Source organism: Homo sapiens, chromosome 13 (assembly GCF_000001405.40).
Source record: "Homo sapiens chromosome 13, GRCh38.p14 Primary Assembly".
In the NCBI taxonomy this organism is placed as follows: Eukaryota; Metazoa; Chordata; class Mammalia; order Primates; family Hominidae; genus Homo; species Homo sapiens.
In genome coordinates, this window is record NC_000013.11 from 18,248,259 (window position 1) to 18,272,128 (window position 23,870).

A 23,870-nucleotide genomic window follows, 5' to 3' on the forward strand; every position below is an offset into this window, starting at 1 on the left:
CTGTCTCCTTGCGCTCAAGCCCTGCAGGTGCTGAAGCCCACACACACAGCTCCTGCTTCCTGGGCCAGTGCACGTGCACACACACACACACGCGCACACACACCCCCACACATACACATACCCACACACAATCACACACATTCACACATACCCACACCCCCCATACTCACACTCACACACTCACACACACCCACAAACACGCACACATACACTCACACACACAATCACACACATTTACACACACCCACACACCCACACACTCACACTCACACTCACACACACCCTCACACAGCGAAACACAATCACACATATTCACACCCACCCACACCCCCACACTCACACTCATATACTCACACACACCCACACACTCACACATACACAAACACAATCACACACATTCACACACACCCACACTCACACATACACACACCCAAACACGATCACACACATTCACACCCACCCAAACCCCACAGACACACTCACACATATACCCACACACACTCACACATAATCTCACATACCCACACACACTCACACTCACACATAATCTCACACACACACACACATGCTCACACACACACGCCTTCTCCAGGAGGGGCTGGCTGCCAAGGGCCACCCAGCTTCCTCCCACGTCTCACTCACCGTACAACATTTGAGCAGACCTTGGAGTCAGCAGCAACAGCAGCGGGGACAAAGGCCTGGGGGCCACATGGGGCCTGGTGTCGAGAGAGGAACACAGCCAGCACAATCACAGCCAGCGCCAGCCCCAGCCCCAGCCCCAGCCCCAGCAGGACCAGGTCAACCATGGCTCCGCAGTCCTGGGCCATGGCTCTGTGGCCCAGAAGGAGAGGGGAGGCCGGTGGGCAGACGGAGGGACAGATGGTTGGGCAGATGAATAGACAAGAAGATGCATAGATAGACTCACAGGTAATTGGACAGATGGACAAACAGGTGGGGGCTGAAGACAGACACGAAGATGGATCGACAGACAGGCCAGATAGCTAGAAAAAGTGGACAGTAAGAGAAAGATGGTCAGATAGACAATGGGACAGAGATGGGCTTACAGTTGGGCGGACAGACAGACAGGTCTGAACAGCGGGCTGCCAGATGGACAGATGGGTGAATGGACAGATGGCTGGCAGCTGTGGTGAGCTGCTGCCCTCACCAAGTGCACACTACGGAGTGGCCAAACTCATGCCTCAACTTCTAGTTTTCAGCTCCTGCTTGTTCCTGGCAGGAGGCCAGGCAGCAAAGCGTCTGAGGGGAGTTTTCTTTGCCTAGAGAAGTCAGCTGCTGTGTTAACTCCCTCACTGCTGGTAGGTCCAAAGGCCCCACCTACTGCCTGCCAGAGCCCATGGTCACACTGTCGCAATGTGCAGGAGAACTTGGTGCCTGCTGCACTGCTGTTGCCAGGTAGGGGCAGGGCTCCCCGGAACCTCCACACCATTCCCCAGGTTCTCAGCTGCTCTGGGAAAGCAGAGTTGGGGCCGCTTAACTCTGCCCTGGATCTGGCAAGGCTGCCCCCCTCCCAGAGTGGAGCCCTGCTCCCCAGCTCCCATCTCTATCCCCTAACCCTCTCCGCATGGCCCAGCCTAGTCAGCATCAAGGTGGAGCTGAACAGAGGCAGAAGGAGGAGGACCCAAGGTGGTGTCACTCAGGACCCGGGTTCAAGTCCTTATGCTTCTGCAGCCTGGCCTGGGTCCCCCAAACCCCCAAGGTTAACAAGGGCTTCCCAGTCTGCACAGAGGACAGGGGGACTTGACAGCATCAAATGCTGGTGACTATGAGACACTTATGTGGGAAATGCAGACAGACCATGCCTCTAGCCCTTGGTACCCGGCACCATCCATCCCTGGGACTTGCTGTCCTGGAAATGCAGCATGGACCTCCAGGGAGGGGGGCTGTGCCATGTGGGGGCCCCACCCCACCTGCAGCTCTTTCCCACCCTGGCTGCAGGTCTGCTTCCCTGAATCCAAATCCGCTACTACTGTGCTGGCAGCACAGCCTCTCTGGGGACACTGGCCTGGCTCTGTTCTCCCCAGGCCTCAGGGTGCCTAAATGGGAGGCAGCCAGGGGAGTGAGGACCCACTGAGGGGCTCCGTTGACCCGGCTCAGCAGGGGTGCAGGTGATGTGGGGTGGAATCCTTCCCACATGGCCCCCACAGTCCTCCCCGCTTCCTCCCCAGCTGAACACTGCCTGCTCCAGATGTCTACACCTGGAGTCCGGGCCCCTCCATCTGGGCAGCAGAGAAACTGAGGCACAGAGACAGACTGTGTCCTTACAGGCCACACAGCCTGCCAGGCCCCTATGTCTGGCCAGAGCCCCTGGTCAGCCTGGGCTGCAGTGATTGTTTAGAGGTAGGCTGTTCCCACGGCTGCCTCTCACGGTATGGGGGCCTGTGGACGCCTCCTCCTGCCCCCACCCGACTCCCAAGCCTCAGTGACATTGCTCAACCAGGAGCTGAAGTGCATTCCTCGGCTCAGGCCAGCCCACCCATCGACCCGCTGCAGTCCTGGAAGCCCAGAGGCCTGGGCAGCAGGAACAGTGGAGACAGCAGTGTGGGGGACGTCCCCCCTCCTCTCCCCACCATCCTCATCAGGCAGAGGCCAGGGTGCAGGGACCATCCGAGCAAAGGCCCAGGGAAACGAATGGGTGTCATTCTGGTCCTGACCCGAGGCACAGCCAGGAAGGTCCCTGTGGGGAAAAGAAAGAGATATCAGACTGTTACTGTGTCTATGTAGAAAGAAGTAGACATAAGAGACTCCATTTTGTTGTGTAGTAAGAAAAATTCTTTTGCCTTGAGATGCTGTTAATCTGTAACCGTACCCCCAACCCTGTGCTCACAGAAACATGTACTGTGTCGACTCAAGGTTTAATGGATTTAGGGCTATGCAGGATGTGCTTTGTTAAACAAATGCTTGAAGGCAGCATGCTTGTTAAGAGTCATCACCACTCCCTAATCTCAAGTAAGCAGGGACACAAAACACTGCAGAAGGCCACAGGGACCTCTGCCTAGGAAAGCCAGGTATTGTCCAAGGTTTCTCCCCAAGTGACAGTCTGAAATATGGCCTCCTGGGAAGGGAAAGACCTGACCATCCCACAGCCCGACACCCCAAAGGGTCTTTGCTGAGGAGGATTAATAAAAGAGGAAGGCCTCTTTGCAGTTGAGATAAGAGGAAGGCATCTCTCTCCTGATCGTCCCTGGGCAAAGGAATGTCTCGGTGTAAAACCCGATTGTATATTCCATCTACTGAGATAGGAGAAAACTGCCTTAGGGCTGGAGGTGAGACATGCTGGCGGCAATACTGCTCTTTAATGCATTGAGATGTTTATGTATATGCACATCAAAGCACAGCACCTTTTTCTTAACCTTGTTTATGACACAGACATTTGTTCACGTGTTTTCCTGCTGACCCTCTCCCCACTATTACCCTATTGTCCTGCCACATCCCCCTCTCTGAGATGGTAGAGATAATGATCAATAAATACTAGGGAACTCAGAGACTGGTGCCAGCGTGGGTCCTCCATATGCTGAGTGCAGGTCCCCTGGGCCCACTTTTCTTTCTCTATACTTTGTCTCTGTGTCTCTTTCTTTTCTCAGTCTCTTGTCCCACCTGATGAGAAACACCCACAGGTGTGGAGGGGCAGGCCACCCCTTCAGGTCCCTGAATGTCCTTCCTCAGGAAATGATGGGGGAAGGGGTGATGAGAATGAAGGAGAGGATTTAAGTCCCTCACCCCCCGAGGTAGTCCTGGGCTGAGCCCCATGGGACCTGGAGAACCAGGGTGTACCCCACCAGCGTGTTGGGTCCAGGAAGTCTCATGGCCAGCTCCCACTTCTCTTGCTGCTGTGCAACCCAGAGCAAGGCCTGCCCCTCCAGCTTTAGTCTTCTCCCCTGCAAATGGGGCCACGGCTTTTCCTCTCAGGCCAAAATAAGGATTGAGGCCGGGTGCAGTGGCTCACCCCTGTAATCCTAGCACTTTGGGAGACTGAGATTGGGGGACTGCTTGAAGTCAGGAGTTAAGACCAGCCTGGTCAACATAGTGAGACCCCATCTCTATTGGTTTAAATTTTTTTAAAAAAAATTAAATAAATAAAATAAGGATTGAAGAGTGACTTGTACACCAGTTGAGCCTACCTCCACCTCACCCTTGCAGAGCCCCAGAGACACAGCCCTCCAGAGCTCAGACCCAGTGGGACTTGACTCCACAGGCATAAAACCCTGTTTGTCTATGGGCCCTTTGGAATCACCAGGTTTTTGGGGCTCCTGAAGGATAGCCCCGACCTGGCCTCACCTGGCCCCTGGCCCCAGTGCCCCTGGTGATATCCAGGTGCTGGGCTGTGATCACCGCCTCCCACCAGCCCACCTCCACCAGCCCTTCCCAGAACCCTGCTCCAGGTGTTGGAACTGTGCACAGAGGAGGGAGCAGGCCCCAAGGGAGGCCTGGAGGGGCTGCCAATGGTGAAGGCTGCTGTGTCTAGCTGTTTCCTTCTGGACCCACTCCCTCTGGGCTGCGTCCCCAGCTGGTCCAAGCCCTGATCCCTGGGATCTGGGGACATCTTCCCGTTTGCTGTTCCCTGAGAACCAGGCCTCCCTCTGGAGAGGATCACAAGCTTGGGTTTCACTCTGGGCTTGCTCTTGGGAACCCCCGAGGGGCGTGGCTCTGACCGAGATGTTTTCCTCCAGCCTGTTGCCCAGTCCCCATTCCTCGGACCTCAGCTTCACCGCCAGTGTCATCGGCAGGGTGAGCTGGAGGCCTACGGGTCTGAGAAGGCGCCCAGGTTCCCAGCATCAGCTGGCCACCCTCTGCCTAAGAAAGCGCCAGGGTCGTGACACCCCCTGGTGGCTGATCCTAGGTAGTGTCACTGCCCAGCCCCAGTAAGGGAGGGCCTGGCCCCAAAGTCCGAGGGATCAGGGTGGGAAGGGGCAGGGTTTGGTGTGAACCTTCCCCTGGCCCCCAGCCATGTGCCCGGCTCTCCCCATGCTGAAGATGCTGAGGCTAGTTCCAGTGCCCGCATTGTGAAGATCTCCGAATCCCACCTCTCTGTTCCTCCCCAGCCAGATGGCTCCATTTCACACACAATACACTGAGGCCCAGAGAGTGGGGAGACAGGCCAGGGAGGCCACCTGGAGCCTGGCACAGTGGCCTCATTTATTATGCTGCTCTGCTGCTCACAGGGGAAGCCCGTCCCCCAAAGTCCTCTTCCTCGTCCTCGTGAGTATCTTGTCCCTGGATTGCTTGTCAGCCTTGTCTGCCCGGAGCACTCAGTAGCCGGCAGGCTCCCCACCTTTCCTGGAGTCTGAGGCAGCTGCCCAGCCACCAGCCGTGCGGACGATGGCTTGCACCACAGCGATGAAGGTGGACGCGATCTGGGTGTGATGGTGCCGGGTCTCCAGGGCTGCAGTCACTGCCTGGGGGTGGGGGGAGAGGGGAAGGCTGAGCAGGGCTCCAGATGCCACCTGAACCACGCCTGTGTGGTCACAGGCCTCAGCCCAGGTGGTGCCATTTCAGGCCAGGTCATCAGGAAGAGCAGGTTGGGGCCTGCTGGGTCTCATTGGAGCAGGGGGTTTGGCCCTCATGGCACAGGGGCTCCAGATGGCCCAGGCACTAGAGAGAGGACACCAACCATTGTTCACTCTGTGATGATCCAGGCCTCCAGCCCAGGATGCCCTGGGGCCACACACCATGACTCAGTTTCTCCAACCCCTGGCCCACCTGGTCAATGTTTCTCTCCACTGTCGTGATGTTGGGCAGAAGCTGGTTGTGCAGCCGGTGCTCCTCCACGGCCCGCTTCATGTCATAGCCGAACCAGAGGTTGTAGATGATGGCCTGGGGCATGGGAGTGTGATCAGCATGGCTTGGGGGCTGTGCGGAGTGGGCAGGGCCAGGGAGAAAAGGGGTGACGCATACCAGTGCAGTGGCTGTGGTGATCTGCGTGCCCCCAGCAGCTCCCACCACCATCCGGACCTGGCCGTCCTGGCCCACCATGATCGTTGGGAACATGGACGAGAGCGGCTGCTTCCCTGCGGCTGATGGGAGAAGACAGGGATGCCCGTCAGCTGCCTGCCCAGGACACCCGCCCCTCTCCACCCCAGTCCCCCACCCCCGGACCTCCACCCCATACCTGGCTGGATGAAATTGGCAGGTGAGGGGGGTACCCCAAACTCATTGGTGATGCTGGGAGAGCTGAAGTCGTCCATTCATTATTGAACAGGATCCCGCTGACCGGGGAGCAGACCTTGGAGCCAAAGCTACCGCCCAGCAGGGTCAGACAGCGCCCGACCTTGCCTGGCCCAGCCTGGTCCCTATCCACCCACTGAGGCTGAAACATACTCACTGAGAGGCCCAGGATAAGCTACCAAGATTGGGCCTCAGTTTCCCACCAGGAAAAGAGGTGATGGAGCCACCTGACTGGATAAGTGGGTGGTCCCTGGGCCACCCACCTCTGGCAGTTTCCCACCCAGGCGGCCCAGCAGCCCCTACTAGAGGTTGATGGTGCTGGTGGCGGACACAGCACTGCCGTCCTCTGTGATGACAGACAGGTGAGCAGTGCCCCTGTCATCCGGCGTGTAGAACTTGGGCTTGTAGTAGGAGATCGTGTGAGTGGTGTTGTCAGAGATCTGGGCCCAGAGCTGGGCAGCGAAGAACTCAGAGGTCATGTTGCGGACCACCTGCCGAGACCCCAGAGCTGGCCTGAGGAGGTGGGGAGGGAGGGTGGGGAGGGGGCACAGGTCTCAGAAGGCCCCTGACTGTGACTCTGACCAAAACCCTCTGGCACCCACAACCTTCCGTGGCTCCCCAGGACCCAAGGGCAGGCCCAGGACCTTGCATGACCAGTCTGACTCCCTGTCTCTGTTGCGTTTCAGCAACTCTGAATGTCTGTCTGCCTGGTCCTCAGCCTCCAGACCCTTGCTGCATTCAATCACTCATTCCTTCATGCAAAAAATATTTCTAGAGTTTGCACTGCATGCCTGGCACTGGGGAATCAACAGGGAACAGACAGTTTTAGGTCCTGCCCTCATGCCAAGAAAAACAAACACACACAGGGAAAGTGCTGAAACCACAAGCCAGGTAAGGGGAATCAAGAGGCATGAGGTATGGGCAGAGTGGTCAGGGAGGGCTTCTCAGAGGAGGCAACGTGTGAAAAGAGCCTGGAATGCGGCCTAAATGGTCAGTGCAAAGGCCCTGAGGCAGGTGGTATAGGCTGGTGAGCGATAGGCAGAGAGTGAATGGAGTGGGGTGGGGAGAAGAGGATGAAGATGCAGGCTGGGGCCCATCCCACAGGACCTCCTAGGTCCCATAAAAACTGGCTTTTGCTCTGTGCCATGCAGGCTTAGGGCAGAGGAATGAGCAGGCTGGGGAGTGTTTTCACAGGGTCCCTCTGGCAGCTATGACGGGGATAAGGATAAATCCCAAAGGGGAGGCTGTGGGTATCAACCAGGCAAGAGATGATGGCCTGGGTGGGAGAAAGAGAAGAATCAAGGATGGTGCTGACTAGCGAGGTAAACCCTGCAGAAGGGGCAGGTTTGGGGATGGTCAGAAGCTTGATTTTGGACACTTCATCAGACCTGAACAGCATGGGTGCAAGTATAAAAAAAATAAATAAATAAGCATGGGTTCACGGGCAAGGGCGGGCTGAGAGATGAACATGGAGGTATTGACATTGAGTGGCTGCTGGATGCCATGAGCCTGGCCAAGGTCCCCAAGGCAGTGGCGAGGAGGAGATGAGGAGGTCAAGGAGGAGACAGAGAGGATGGACCCGAAGGCCGAAGAAAATGCCTCAAGAGAGTTTCCACACCGGGCGCGGTGGCTCACGCCTGTAATCCCAGCACTTTGGGAGGCCGAGGCCTGTAATCCCAGCACTTTGGGAGGGCGGATCACGACGTCAGGAGATCGAGACCATCCTGGCTAACACAGTGAAACCCCATCTCTACTAAAAATACAAAAAATTAGCTGGGCGCGGTGGTGGGCACCTGTAGTCCCAGCTACTTGGGGGGCTGAGGCAGGAGAATGGCGTGAACCTGGGAGGCGGAGCTTGCAGTGAGCCGAGATCGCGCCACTGCACTCCAGCCTGGGCGACAGCCTGGGGGACAGAGCGAGACTCCATCTCAAAAATAAAATAAATAAAATACAATAAAATAAAATAAAATAAAATAAAGTTTCAGCAACACCCCACAGATTAGTTGACCAATCCGAGGGAAAGGTGTTCTGTCTGAAACTGCCCTCAAGGAAACAGAAAGGCAAATCCATGATGTGGGACATTTTCCAAGACTACTGCCCTGGGCTTTAAAAATCAACAAAACAGGCCAGGCACGGTGGCTCATGCCTGTAATCCCAGCACTTTGGGAGGCCGAGGCAGGAGGATCACGAGGTCAGGAGATCGCAATCACGGTGAAACCCCGTCTCTACTAAAAATACAAAAAATTAGCTGGGCGCAGTGGCAGGCGCCTGTAGTCCCAGCTACTCGGGAGGCTGAGGCAGGAGAATGGCGTGAACCCAGGAGGCGGAGCTTGCAGTGAGCTGAGATAGCGCCACTGCACTCCAGCCTGGGTGACAGAGAGAGACTCTGTCTCAAAAAAAAAAACACACACACCTGTAATCCCAGCACTTTGGGAGGCTGAGGTGGGAAGATAGTTTGATCCCAGGAGTTTGAGACCAGTCTGGGCAAGACCCTGTCTCTAAAAAACATACAAAAATTATCCAGGTTTGGTGGCACGTGCCTCTGGTCCCAGCTGCTCAGGGGGCTGAAGTGGGAGGATTGCTTGAGCCATGGAGGTTGAGGCTGCAGTGAGCCAAGATCACACCACTGCACTCCAACCTGGATGACAGAGACTCTGTGTCCAAACAAAAACACAACAAAAACAAAACAGCCAAGGGAGCCTACTGTAGGTAAAGAGAAGGGACAGCAGGTTGTGTCACCCCGACATCCTGCTGTGCTATGTTCAAGTCTCACTTTTGAGACACACCCTGAGGTGTGACATCAGTAACCTACTGTGGAATCCCTCAGAAAAACACGAATCCCAATAGATGTGGGTGGAGATGGAGAGAGTTAGGAAATCCGGCAGAAACGTCCACACTGCAGACTCCAGGAAAAGGGAACATTGATGCTTGGGCAGTTTTGGTTTTTTTTTACATTTTTGTAAGTGCGAAAATTTGCAAAATGAAAACTCGAGGAGAGTGTGGTGAGCTGTGTGAGATGCTGCTGAGTGGGGCTTGATGGGGAAACTGAGGCTGGACATGGCGATCTGGTGGCATGGGGATAGAGCAGGGGAGGGGATACCCTGAAGGGAGAGAGGACATAGCCCAGCCATGTTTGCTCTAAGAGGAGCAAAGGACAGAAGGAGGCAGCAGATAGAAATTTCTAGAGCAACAACAGCTGCCTTTCTTTTGGGAATAATCCGTGATAAAGAAGTAAATCGTCAGAGGCAGAAAGGAGCATTGTAGGAACAGCACCCTGAGCCAGCGAGTAGATGAAAGAGTTGGCCTTAGCCAAAAGGGAGGGCAGAGGGACACGCTGCAGTGGCTCTGTCCCCTCAGAGAGACAAGACATCAGGTCACTGGCTGCAGCGGGAGTCAGAGGTGCAGAATGCTCACGGGGAAAGAGAAGACACCACCCGGGCAGCTGACGCCCCTCCTGGGAGGTCACTGGTCAGTGTGGGGGGCGTCTGCAGATCCACCCAGGAATGCCAAGGACCCAAGTAGGTAAGGAGGAATGTGAGGATCCTCAGCGGGAAGGGATATGACAGGGTCTTATAGGGACCCAGCGTGGAGCTGGAGCAACTACTGAGTGAGTGGGTCAGGTGGTGCAGGGCTGAGGGTGGCATCTGGGAAGCGTTAGTTTGGAGTGACAGGGAGTGGGTGGCCGAGGTCTCTGTTCACCTGGCCCTCTCCCTTTCACCCATCCATCTCACCATGCCCGAGGGCTGCAATGCCCCCATGCATTCCTCATCTCAGCACTGAACACTCGAGAACCACAGCATGTGCAAAGGACCTGAGGTAGGAGGGTGGCCACTAATTCCCCACACTGTCAGTTCTGTGGGGCAGAAGCCAAGACTGGGGGTCACCCACCAGTCCATCCGAGCACACAGTAGGCCCGCAATCAAAGTTCGTGGCAGGAATGGATTCATAAAGCGTATGTGAGGCTGTAGCCACCCTGGGGAGCCCACCTGATGCCTCTACAGCAGGCCCCACACCCACAGTGGGCCAGCCCCTGCCCCTTACCTCAGTCACATTCACAAACTTGGGGTCCCCAAGCAGGGTCCTCTTGGCGTAGGCAAACCAGAAAGCCTCTACGATGCGGTGGTACGTCAGGCCCTTCTGCTCGGGGGTCTCCACACTCTCCCAGGAGAAGTTGTACCCTGGTTGATCAGAGCCAGGTGCATGTTGCTGAGCCCCAGAGGCTCTGAGGGGCTCAGAGGGTTAACACCTGCCTGAGCCACTTTGCCCACCTCAAGGAGCGTTTAATAACCAATAGCAGCAGCTGCTTCAGAAGGCTGTGGTGAGAGTGAAGTAAGGTGAGGGCTCCCGAGCCTGGACCTCACGTCACGCATCAGCTCTGGCCATTCGGTGACCAAGTGGCAGGGTCACCCACTGGACCAGGGTACCCTCTGGACCAGGCCCTGCAGCCCTGAGCTCCTGCACCTCTCTCCTTCCTGATGACTCCTGTTCCTCCTCCAACCCTTGAGCATTGCCCGCTTCAGCCCTGTCGCTCTGCACTGCCTCCTTCAGGACATGGTGAGCTGTGACGCAGGGACACGCCTCGGGAGCTCAGTGATGGAAAGACGTGGCATGGAGGGCGAGCAGAGATGCAGCAGGGGTGGGGCGTGGGGAGAGAGAGGCAGTGTCATGGGTCCTACCACACGGCTGTGGTGCGACCACTCACCTTTGAGGATGTTGAGGATGAGGGCCAGCACGGGCCCGCTGAGCGGCGCACTGGGCATGTACAGCACCGCGTCTCCCAGGCTGATGTTCAGCGGGTGCTCGATCAGCTCAGCACAGTAGTTGTTCAGGTCCTCAGCTGTCACAATGCCCCCTGCGACGGGACAGCAGCTCGAATGGGCACTGGGATGGGGCTGCACCACTGCGTGGAGGATGGAGCTGCACCAGTGGTGTTGGGGGCAGGCATGGCTGCACCATGGTGGTGAGGAAAAGCCTGTACCTACAAAGGAGGACAGAGTGCACTACTGGAGGGGTGGGACTGTGCCCTGGGAGGAGGCCACAGGCAACCTCACCTCCTTGGGAACCTCACCAGCTCCGGCACTCCTGTCTCCCTGACACTGCTCACCACCCGACAGCTGGTCTGGGGCCACCTGCCCTCTGCCTGCTTGGCTTAGTGGCTTCCTGTCTGCCTTCTCTCATCTGTGGCCAGAGAGTGTTTTCTTTTTTTTTTTTTTTTTTTAGAGATAGGATCTTGCTCTGTCACCCAGGCTGGAGTGCAGTGGCTTAATCACAGCCTTGAACTCCCGGGCTCAAGTGATCCTCCAGCAGACCCTCCCCAGTAGCTGAGACTAAAGGCACAACTACACCCAGCAAATTTTAATTTTTTTTGTTGTGTTTTGCTATTTTTTTTTTTTGAGACGGAGTCTCACTCTATCGCCCAGGCTGGAGTGCAGTGGCATGATATCGGCTCACTGCAAGCTCCGCTTCCCAGGTTCACGCCATTCTCCTGCCTCAGCCTCCCAAGTAGCTGGGACTGCAGGCACCCGCCACCACACCTGGCTAATTTTTTTGTATTTTTAGTAGAGACAGGTTTCACTGTGTTAGCCAGGATGGTCTCGATCTCCTGACCCCGTATCCACACGCCTCGACCTCTCAAAGTGCTGGGATTACAGGCATGAGCCACCATGCACGGCCAGGTTTTGCTATATTTCTTTTCACTATGCTTTGAATTTTTTGTTTTCTTGTTCCCCACCCCCACCCCCACTATATTTATGTAGATTCTCAATACTTTTTTGTAGACTCACTATGTTGCCCAGGCTTGTCTTGGACCTCCTGGCCTCAACTTCTACCTCAGCCTCCCAAAGTGTTGTGATTACAGACATGAGACACCAAGCTTGGCCTCAGAGGGCCTTTTTTTTCTTTTTTTTTTGAGATGGAGTCTCACTCTGTGGAGTGCAGTGGTGCAATCTCAGCTCACTGCAACCTCAGCCCCCGAGGTTCTAGCGATTCTCCTGCCACAGCCTCCCAAGCAGCTGGGATTACAGGCACAACCCACCATGCCTGACTAATTTTGCATTTTTAGTAGAGACAGGGTTTCACCATGTTGGCCAGGCTGGTCTTGAACTCCTGACCTCAGGTGATCCACCCGCCTCGGCCTCCCAAAGTGCTGGGATTACAGATGTGAGCCACCACACCTGGCTCAGAGGGCCTTTTCTAACTGGAGAATTCCTGCCGGTGTCCCTGCTGCTTGGCCTCTTCTCCTCACGATGAATGGATAGAGGGAGGGAGGGAGGCTCTTAATTCTCCTGGAGTCAGCTCCAGACAGACAGGGTATTGGCACGCCAATTTCCAGCCTCAGTAGTAAAGGTCGACATGCTAATCACCCTCCTCCATGAAACAGTGACAAAAATTACCTGAAGAAAGCCACAGCCAAGCTCCAGGCCCCTGCCCCACAAATCCCCTTCCCCATGCCTCTCTCAAGGCGACCCTCATCCCTTGTAACCCCCTTGGTGAATCAAAGCCCCCTCTACTGGGCCTTAGCCCAGCTGTTCCTCTGCTAGGAATCCCTTCCTCTCTCTGCCTAACAAAGTTATCTGCAGCCCAGCCGCCACCTCCTCCAAGAAGTCCTCCTGGATCTTCAGGCTGTATTCTAGTGCTTCCCTAGCCCTGGCTCTTGCCTACACCTGCATTTACCCCAACAGGGACTTGCTCTCCTGGACTGTGTGGCCTCTCTTGGTTTTGATATAAGCAGGAGCTGTGGACCCACATGGCTAGTCACTGACCCTCCTCCACCAGGAACTTCCTGCAGGCTCAGGCAAGACAGGAGGACCCCATGGCTCTGGGCTACAGCTCAGGGTTTCCACTGCAGAGTTCCTTACCCAGGCCCTTGAGGTTACCCACTCACGGCCGCCTGGATGTCCTTCACAATCTGGGCCATGAGGCTGCCATTGTAGAAGGCCTGGGCACCCTCAATGGCCAGCGTCTCATAGGTGTCAGCCACCCGCGGCAGGGTCAGTCTCTCCCCCTCCCGAAGCACCTTTCTATCCCGGCAGAACACCTCACTGGGGCAGAGGGGGCTCATGTGAGGCAGCAGGTGGGGTGGACTTAGCTAGACCACCCCCCACACCTGCCCACACAGGAGACCAGCACAAAGCAGGGGCAGCGCCTGTCACAGGTGGGTGGCCCTGTCACTCAGCGCTCATCCTCCTAGTGTCCCTTCCGGGAACATTCTAGTGTCCCTTGCCACTCAGGACACATGGCCAGCCACAGTGGCCACTGGGACCTCACGCTCAGAATGTGTCCCCACGCTCAGAATGTGTCCCCACACGTGGTGGGAAGGGTCTGTATCTCCTCATCCCATTATCAGCGCAGGGTCCTGAAGGCAGAGGGCCGCTCCACTGCTGCTACGGCCTGCAAGGTCCTTGGGCTGTGCCTGCCCTGCCTGTGTCAGGGGGCCGCACCCACAGACATGCCACAAGACAGGCTGCTGCTCGATGACGGTCCGCTTGTTTTCCAGGACTGCCGCCAAGCCCTTGCCCACGGGGAAGCCCTGGCGGGCCAGCTGGATGCTGGGCTGGAAGAGGCGAGCCCAGGGCAGCCGCCCATGCCGCTGGTGTGCCAGCTCATAGCCTCGGATCTCCCCAGGCACTGCCACTGACAGCCCTCCTGGGGAGAGAGAGCCACAGTTAGTGACCCTGAGTGGGGGACATCGGGATCTCTCGCAGGCAGCATCCCAGGCACAGTCCCTGACTCGTTTTACAGATGGGGCAATGAGGCTTAGGAGGAAAGATTTTTTTTTTCTTTTTTGAGTTGGGGTCTTGCCATCTTGCCCAGCCTGATCTCGAACTCCTGGATTCAAGCAATCCTCCCACCTCAGCCTCCTGATTTTTATTTTATTATTTTTTTTAGGAGGGGATGTTTAATTTTTTTTTTAAGAGGGGCTTAGCAGGTAGGAGTGTACATGGACCAGGGATGTCTGAGGAGGGCACAGGAGGGGAAGCAGTAGCATGCGGCTGGGTTTTGCTGTCCCAGGATGAGGTGTCTGTCTGTGCAGGTGCCTGCATGTCTAAAATCCTGTGCCAGGCCAGACCCCCTCCCATCTCACTGACCACAAGGCCTTATCCTGTAAGACTCATGGGCTCCACCAGAATGTGCCAAAACAAGAGCAGATCCCACCCTGACCCAGGTCAAGCACAGGCCACCTTCAAGACACAGCCAGCCCCAAGAAAGGGCTCCCTTCCTCTTTTCTACTGCCCCAGATAGGCAAGACTGAGCCTTAACCTCCATCCTGTCCCCTCTCCCAGCCTCAGTTTCTCCATCCAACTATAAGGGTTTTTGTTTGTTTGTCTGTTTTGAGACAGGGTCTCACTCTGTTGTCCCAGCTGGAGTGCAGTGGTGCAATCATGGCTCACTGCAGCCTTGGCTTCCCAGGCTCAAGCGATCCTCCCACCTCAGCCTCTGAAGTACCTAAGACTACAGACATACCCCACTACATGTGGCTTTTTTTTTTTTTTTGAGATGGAGTTTCACTCTTGTTGCCCAGGCTGGAGTGCAATGGCACAATCTTGGCTCACTCCAACCTCCACCTCCCGAGTTCAAGTAATTCTCCTGCCTCAGCCTCCCAAGTAGCTGGGATTACAGGCATGTACAACCATGGCTTGCTAATTTTTGCATTTTTAGCAGAGACGGGGTTTCACCAGGTTGGTCAAGCTGGTCTTGAACTCCTAATATCAGGTGATCCATCCTCCTCAGCCTCTCAGAGTTCTGGGATTAGAGGCATGAGCCACCACTCCCAGCCTAATTTTTTATTTTTATTTTTTGTAGAGACAGGGGTCTTGCTACATTGCCAAGACTGGTCTCAAACTCTGGCCTCAAGCAATCCTCCCACCTCAGCCTCCCAACATGCTGGGATTACAGGTGCACCCAGTCTATACGGGGTTTTGCCTTCCAGTTCTGACTTTTGAGGAGGTCATTGGAAACAGACCCCTGGGCCTGCTTCCCCCCGAGCCCCACTGCCCATATGGACACTACAGACACTGACCCTTTGCCTAGAAAGGTACAACTATGGCCTCTGCCCCCAGGTACTCTCCTGCTCTTGCGAGAGATGATGGGGCCATTTGGCTTGGCTTGGCGGCTGCAGCTCTAAAACTGCCTCTCCCACCCTGAAGCCTGGCACAAGTTTCCAAGAGCTGGTGGTTTCAATTCCTAAAAGCTGCACATACATCCCGGAAGGTCTGACACCCAGCACATGATTCCTTCCACCTTGTGGTTAGACAGAAGTTCTTTTTTGTTTTGTTTTGTTTTTTTGTTTGTTTGTTTTTGAGATGGAGTCTTGCTCTGTCTCCCAGACTGCAGTGCAGTGGCATGATCTCAGCTGACTACAACCTCCGCCTCCCAGGTTCAAGCGATTCTCCTGCCTCAGCCTCCCGAGTCGCTGGGATTACAGGCACAGGCCAGCACGCCAGGCTAATTTTTGTATTTTTAGTACAGATGGGGTTTTGCCATGTTGGCCAGGCTGGTTTCAAACTCCTGACCTCAGGTCATCCACCCACCTCAGCCTTCCAAGGTGCTGGGATGACAGGCATGAGCCACCGTGCCCAGCCAAGACAGGAGAAGTTCTAATCTTTGATAGCAGACCAGGGTGACGATGCTTAGCAACAGTATTTTGTATATTTCAAAGTAATGAAGAGAGGACTATGGTGCTAACACCCAGAAAGAAAAATATTCAAGGTGACGGAGACTCCAAATACCCTGCCTTGATCATTATACACTCTCTGCATGTAACAAGCACTCACATGTACCCATAAATATAGAAAATATCATGTATCAACATCAGAAAAAAAATCTTCTCCTGACCTCAGGCCAATCAGACTCTCATGCCACCACACTTGCCAAGTTCTCTGGTGACACCCACACTGCCAGACCCAGTGCCCCTCTCAGCTTTACTGGGCTCATCACTCTCCCTGAGAGCCGCCCCTGCATCCCAGCACCTGGCTCCACCCGAGTATCCCCTGCCTGCCATCCTAGCTCCTACTCTCCCCTCTGTCTTTGCTCTCTCTCCTGGTGGTCTGCTTGACATCTGAGCTTCAGCCTCCATTTATGCACTGACAACTCCCAAATTGACCTGCTGGCCTGGACTGCTCCTCTGATCACCAGACCTGAGTATCTACCTGCCTGCTTGAAGAAAGCATCTCAAACTTCAACGTGCCCAAAACCGAGCTCCTGAGTGTCTGCTCAACCTGCTTCCTGAGAACCCTGCCTGCCTCCATTAGGGTCACCCCATCCTTCCAGGTACAGACAAAAGATCAGGGGTCCCTGGGGACTCCCTACACAAGCATCACACCCACCCCATCCTCAAATCCACAGGCTCCACTTCCAAGTGTGTCTGTCCAGCATCAGCCACTTCCCAGCACCCTCTCCACGAATTACTGCAGTGACCTCCGGACAGGTCCCCACATGCTCCCTGCCCCTTACACAGCAATCCAAGGGGTCCATAGGCCAGATCCATCCCCTTCCACTCACACACTCCACGAGCCCCCACTTCCCTCAGACAGGAAGCAGAGGCTTCACCATAACCTAAGAGATCCCGCACAACCTGGGCCATTCCCCTTGGATCACTTGCTGCAGCCTCCCCAGCTCCCCACAGGGCTCTGTCCCTGCCATCACACCTGGATAGCAGACCAGGAGATAACTCCCCCGACCCCATCTCTGCCTCTGGGTCTTTGCTCAGATGTCCCCTTCCCTGACTAGGTCACCCTCCATAGAGTCCCAGATTTTGAGGCCCTCCAGGTCTGTTTTTCTACAGCCCGTAACATACCGGCACCTGCCTAGTTTCTTTTCCCACCTGGAGTGTCACAGATTTCATCTGCCGTCTTTGTTTTTCACCCCAGCTTCAGGAACAACAGCTGATTCTTTAAGACAATGCTCAATACATTCTAGTTAAATAAATGATTCTAAGCATCCACAAGGTGCCAAGCCTATGATTCCCGCATTCTCTTACCCTGAGCAACTTCATGTCTACAGATGCTGAGTTTCTCAATGAGTATTAAAAACAAATGAAAGATTGGTGGGGCACAGTGGCTCACGCCTGTAATTCCAGCACTTTGGGAGGCCGAGGCAGGGGGATCACGAGGTCAGGAGATCGAGGGACCAGCCTGGGCAACATAGTGAAAACCCGCCTCTACTAAAAAATACAAAAAATTAGCCGGGCGTGGTGGCAGGCGCCTGTAGTCCCAGCTACTCGGGAGGCTGAGGCAGGAGAATGGCGTGAACTCAGGAGGCAGAGCTTGCAGTGAGCCGAGATCGCACCACTGCACTCCAACCTGGGCGACAGAGTGAGACTCTGTCTCAAAAAAAAAAAAAAAAAAAGAAAAAAAAATCAAAGATTGAGTATGTTGCAGAAGACTCCAAAGGGCACCACCCAGGACCCCCACCTGAAGTCTAAGACCTGCTATGGTGAGTGTGTCCTGCCCCTCCATCCTCCAACTTTTTTTTTTTTTTTTTGAGACGGAGCTTCGTTCTTGTTGCCCAGGCTGGAGTGCAGTGGCATGATCTCGGCTCACTGCAATCTCCACCTCCTGGGTTCAAGCGATTCTCCTGCCTTAGCCTCCTGAGTAGCTGGGATATTACAGGCCTGTGCCACCACGCCTGACTTATTGTACTTTTAGTAGAGAATGGGTTTCACTATGTTGGCCAGGCTGGTCTTGAACTCCTGACCTAGGTGATCCATCTGCCTCAGCCTCCCAAAGTGCTGGGATTACAGGCGTGAGCCTGTGAAAAAAAGGCCCAACCTTTTTTTTTTTTTTTTGACAGGGTCTCACTTTGTTGCCCAAGCTAGAGTGTAGTGGTATAATCATGGCTCACTGCAGCCTCAACCTCCTGGGCTCAAGTGATCCTCCCACCTTAGCCTCCCAAGTAGCTGGGACCATAAGCACACACCGCCATACCTAGCTAATTTTTTTTTCCATTTTTTTGTAGAGATGGAGTCTTGCTATGTTGTCCAGGCAGGTCTCCTGGGCTCATGCACTCCTCCTGACTTGGCCTCCTAAAGTGCTAGGATTAGAGGTGTTGAGTTGTTGAGACCCTCCCATCCTCCAACTTTTATCTCACAATCTATTGTGCCTCCTTTGGGGTCAGACAGTGGCTTCCTGGATGGACAGTGGCTTCCCTTCAGGTACCTGGGGAATTTGGGGGCCTCCTCTCCACTTAAGACCAGATTAGAAAAGAGAGACTCCACCTCACATTCTAGAGCGCCATCCCCACAAATGAACAAATGAGTGAATGGGATGCCTGTTGAAAAGGCAGGATATAGACAGCCTGGGATCAATTTTAGCTTCACCACCTCCCAGCTGTGTGACCTCAGCTGATTTGCATGACCTGTCTGAGCCTCAGCATCCCCACCCTGTAAAATGGGAATCCACACAGCATCCCCTAGCCCAAAGGAGCAGGGAGGGTTGTGAGAAGCTCGTGGGTGAAAAGCACAGAGCAGAGCGTGGGCCCCAGTGAGCCCTGGTCCATGAGGTCTGCTAGCATAATAATTATTCTTTCCATGTGCTGCACAGAATGGCCCCGGAGGCCTTAGCAGAAATAACAGAAGCTCCCGGCCCTTTACCGTGGTGATGATGGTCCTGACCACTCATTGTGGGAGGGTGCTATGGGGCCAGGAAGGGATGGGGGGTGCTAGAACTGCCCCTGAACCCTGACGGGAGCAGGCTCCTGTGGGCAAGGCCCCTTCCCGGTGGCTCAGCCAGCTCTGCACCCATGCCCCAAGTCTGCAGCATGGCTTACCCTTCTGGGACTGCTCCAAGCTGTTGAACATGCTGGCAAAGGCCAGCCTGGGGGCCACCTCGCGGGCATTGATGACCTCAGCTTTTCCTAGAAGGAGAAGCAGGTAGGCAGGCCCACCCACCCAAACCCTTTATGCCACGTGAGCCTGGGGGCCACCCAGCTGTGCCTCGGCCCAACCCACAACCCCTGCCCCTCTCCCTCTCCTCTTCCGAGGCATTCATGAGAGGTGCTGTTGTAGATGGTGAGGAAGAGGCCACCCCCGATGCTCATGCTGTGGGCATTCATGAGCCCCACACACAACAGGGCTGCAATGGCTGCATCCACCGCAGAGCCACCATCCCGCAGTGTGTCCCTGCCATGTGGCACATAAAGGCACGAGAACCTGCAGGCTTCCACCCTGGCACCGCATACATACCCTGCTGCCTACCTGCCCAAAGGAGGATGGAAGAGAAGTCCATTCGAGTTTTGGGGTTTTTGTTTTTAGTTTCTTTCTTTTTTGTTTTGAGATGGAGTCTTGCTCTATTGCCAGGCTGGAGTGTAGTGGCACGATCTCAGCTCACTGCAACCTCTGCCTCTCGGGTTCAAGCCATTCTCCTGCCTCAGCCTCCTGAGTAGCTGGGACTACAGGTGCATGCCACCACGCCCAGCTAATTTTTGTATTTTTAGTAGAGACGGGGTTTCACCATGTTGGCCAGGATGATCTCTATCTCTTGACCTCATGATCTGCCTGCCTTGGCCTCTTTTATTTTTTTTTTTTTGAGACAAAGTCTCTCTTTGTTGCTCAGGCTGGAGTGCAGTGGTGTGATCTCAGATCACTGCAGCCTCAGTCTCCTGGGCTCAATTGACCCTCCCATCTCAGCCTCCCAAGTAGCTGGGACTGTGGCCACATGCCACCATGCCCAGCCAATTTTGTTTGTTTGTGTATTTTGTAGAGATGGGGTTTCATCATGTTGCCCAGGCTGGTCAAGAACTCCTGTGCTCAAGTAATCCACCCACCTTGGCCTCCCAAAGTGCTGGTATTACAGGCATGAGCCACTGTGCCCAGCCTTTGTTTTATGAGACAGGGTCTCACTTTGTCACCCAGGATGAAGTACAGTGGCACAGTCTTGGCTCAATGCAGCTTTGACCTCCTGGGCTCAAGCAATGCTCCCACTTCAGTCTCCTGAGTAGCTGGGACTACAGGTAAGAACCACCACACTGGGCAATTTTTTGTCTTTTTTGTAGAGATAGGGTCTTTCTATGTTGCCCAGGCTGGTCTCGAACTCATGGTCTAAAGCAATCCTATCGCCTCAACCTCCCAAAGTGCTGGGATTACAGTTTCTTCTTTTTCTTTTCTTTCTTTTTTTTTTTTTCTGAGACAGAGTTTCACTCAGTTGCCCAGGCTGGAGTGCAGTGGCATGATCTTAGCTCACTGCAACCTCTGCCTCCTGGGTTCAAGCGATTCTCCTGCCTCAGCCCCTGAGTAGCTGGGATTACAGGCGCACACCACCATGCCCCGCTAACTTTTTATATTTTTAGTAGGGACAGAGTGCACCATGTTGGCCAGGCTAGTCTCAAACTCCTGACCTCGGGTGGTCTGCCCGCCTCAACCCCCCAAAGTGCTGGGATTACAGGTGTGGACCACCTTGCCCAGACAGTTTCCTCTTTATCAAGCAAACAAATGTACATGACTTTTATAATTGGGACAAAAAGGGAAATTGCTATACTTTATTAATAACATTTTTTTTTCCCTGCTAGAGATGGTGGCTTACACCTGTAATCTCAGCACTTTGGGAGGCCAAGGTGGAGGATCACTTGAGGCCAGGAGTTCAAGACCAGCCTGGGCAATAGAGTGAGACCGTCTCTACAAAACAGTCTTTTTAAATTAGTCAGGTGTGATGCACGCCTGTAGTCCTAGCTACTCAGGGGGCTGAGGTGGGAGGATCGCTTGAGCCCAAGAGTTCAAGGCTGCAGTGAGCTATGATCATGCCACTGCACTCCAGCCTGGGTGACAGAACAAGACCCTGTCTCAAAATATGAAAAACATAATATTTTTTCTGTTTAAGTCTTTAGAAGGGAACTGATCTTTATATATAACATGAGATAAGAGCCCAAAATAGAATAAAACAGTAGAAGCCAGGCACCATGGCTCACACCTGTAATCCCAGCACTTTAGGAAGCTGAGGCGGGAGGATCACTTAAATCCAAGAGTTTGAGGCTGCAGTGGGCTATGATCGCTCCCCTATACTCCAGCCTGGGTGACAGAGTAACACTCCACCTTAAAAAAAGAATAAGCCCTTCATGTCCCTGTTTGGGCAACAGCGTTCCTTCGGGGGAGGGGGGAGGGATGGCATTGGGAGATATACCTAATGCTAAATGACGAGTTGGTGGGTGCAGCACACCAACATGGCACATGTGTACATATGTAACAAACCTGCACATTGTGCACATGTACCCTAAAACTTAAAGTATAATAATAATAAAATAAAATAAAAAAAAGAAAGAAAGAAATTGTCTCCTAACCAAAAAATAAAAAGAAAAGAATAAGCCGGGCATGGTGGCTCACACCTGTAATCCCAACACTTTGGGAGGCCCAGGTGGGTGGATTACCTGAGGTCAGGAGTTCGAGACCAGCCTGACCAACATGGTGAAACCCCATCTCTACTAAAAACACCATAATTAGGCCAGGCACAGTGGCTCACACCTGTAATCCCAGCACTTTGAGAGGCAGAGGTGGGAGGATCACAAGGTCAGGAGTTCAAGACCAGCCTGGCCAACATAGCAAAACCCTGTCTCTACTAAAGATACAAAAATTAGCTAGGCATGGTGGCACATGCCTGTAGTCTCAGCTACTGTGGAGGCTGAGGCAGGAGAATCACTTAAACCTGGGAGGGGGAGGCTGCAGTAAGCCAAGATTGCACCACTGCCCTCCAGCCTGGGTAACAGAGCAATACTCTGTCTCGGAAACAAACACACACACACACACACACACACACACACAAATTTGTTGGGCGTGGTGGCACACACCTGTAATCCCAGCTACTTGGGAGGCTTAGGCATGAGAATCGCTTGAACTTGGGAGGCGGAGGTTGCAGTTAACTGAGATTGCATCACTGCACTCCAGCCTGGCAACAGAGCAAAACTCCATCTCTAAATAGATAGATAGATAGATAGATAGATAGATAGATAGATAGATAGATAGATAGGAAGAAATAAGTAAAAATAGCAACCAAACAACAAAACAGTGGAGTTTATCCAAAGAGACAGAGACTCTTAGAACTGAGAAAAGGGGCCTGTTTGGCTCTAGAGACCCACACCCTGCTCTCGGAGTCACCGTCCCCTTCCCAAAGGCTACTGAGGGAGTCCAAGCGAAGCTTACATGTGGGGAAACTGAGTCTCAGAGGGGTGAACGTATTGCTCAGGTCCACTTGCCCAGTTTTCAGGGCCCATGTCCCATGCCCTGCCCCGCTCACCTCCCAATCTCCGAGCACTGCTTGGCATCTGCAGCCACGGCAGCCCTGGTGTACACATGGTTGTCAGGTTCCTTGGAGGCTGAGGGCAGCCAGAGACAGAGATTGACAATGACCAGCACCAGGACCACGGCCAGCAGGCCCAGCACCACTAACTTCTTCTTCATGGCTCTGCTGCTCCCACGGGGTAAGGAGCAGGGTCAGGCCCAGCCTCAGACATTCCCTGGCCCCTCCCCAACAGGGCACAGTCTAAAGTCGGGCCTCAGAAACACAAGGCCTGTGTCTCCTTCCTGCTTCCCAGAATACGTACAGGCTGTCCGGCCCCCAGACCTTTGTGCAGGCCATGCCCTCTGCCAGAAGCTCTGGGCCTCATCTCTACCCTCCCAAATCCTCCCTGCTTGTCTTCAGAGCCCATCCTGGTAAGAACCCCATCTCCAGCAGTGGCCCTTCCTGGGAGCCCCCAGATTTCCACACCCCTCTTTCTGCAGGGCCTGGCCTACCTCCTCACAGTGGCTGAGCCTCCACTGCTTAGGGAGAAGCTCCAGCAGGGATGGGCCTGGCCTGGTTTCTCCTGTGTCCCCCACCCCAGCCTAGAGCCTGGCACTGTCCAGGAGTCCTCTGAAGACCCTCCACCCCACCTGGAGCATGGGGTTTAGCTTCCATAGTGCCCACAATCAGAGTGCCCCACAGATTCACTGCCACGGGGCCAGGACTTACCGTCCAGCAGCAGACGGGGGCCCCAAGCCTTGCCTGGGGTGTTGGCCACGAAAGACAGGAGGATTTGGTGGAAACAGCTGAGGAAATAACTGGGGTCTCCCTCACACTCTGCTGAAGCCTGTAGCCACAGAATCTTCTTCAGAGACTCTCTGATCAGGCAGCCTTCTCGTTCTCCTGAAGGTCAAGGGAGGTTACCTGAAGCACGCACAGCCCAGACCTTTCTGGGGGACTCCGGGTTACCTCCCTCTGCCTCTAGCTGGTTTCTCTGTCTCCAGTTGAACTCTGGAGGCAAAGAGGCTGTCAGTAACACATTTGTTTCCATGAATTCTCTCAGCATTTCTCCCAGGCACAGCTCAAAGAGGGTTTTGCACGGAGCAGGGCAGGTAGGGGACAGGGCATTCCTGCAGAAGCCCAGGATGTGCATGTGGTAAGCATGGCAAAGGGGGCTCAAGGGGCACCGCCAGCCTTCCCTGCTCTGATGCTGGACTTGCCACTCACCTGCTGTGGGGCCTCAGGCAAATCACTGAACTGTCCAGCCTGGAAGATGGCAGCACCTCACTTGCCTTGCTGCTGGGAGTGTTGTGAATAGAGTAGGTTAGACTGTGGGCAGGACTTGGTGAATGGTAGCTGTGATTATCATCATGGCTGCACTGGGGACACCCCCAGGAGGCCTGAGTGGCACAGGTCTCTTGCTCACTCTATGTCCCCTGTGGACTCCCTTCCAGGCTGTGCAGTGAGTGGCAGCAGTGACCCTTG

The 23,870-nt window shown here is 54.4% G+C and overlaps 2 pseudogenes; both read right to left on the reverse strand.

The window, feature by feature from the left end:
• Nucleotides 1-5,104: 5,104 nt before the first annotated feature.
• On the reverse strand, nucleotides 5,105-10,313 carry LOC101060145 (glutathione hydrolase light chain 1-like; annotated as a pseudogene).
• On the reverse strand, nucleotides 13,042-23,366 carry GGT4P (gamma-glutamyltransferase 4 pseudogene; annotated as a pseudogene).
• Nucleotides 23,367-23,870: the final 504 nt, after the last annotated feature.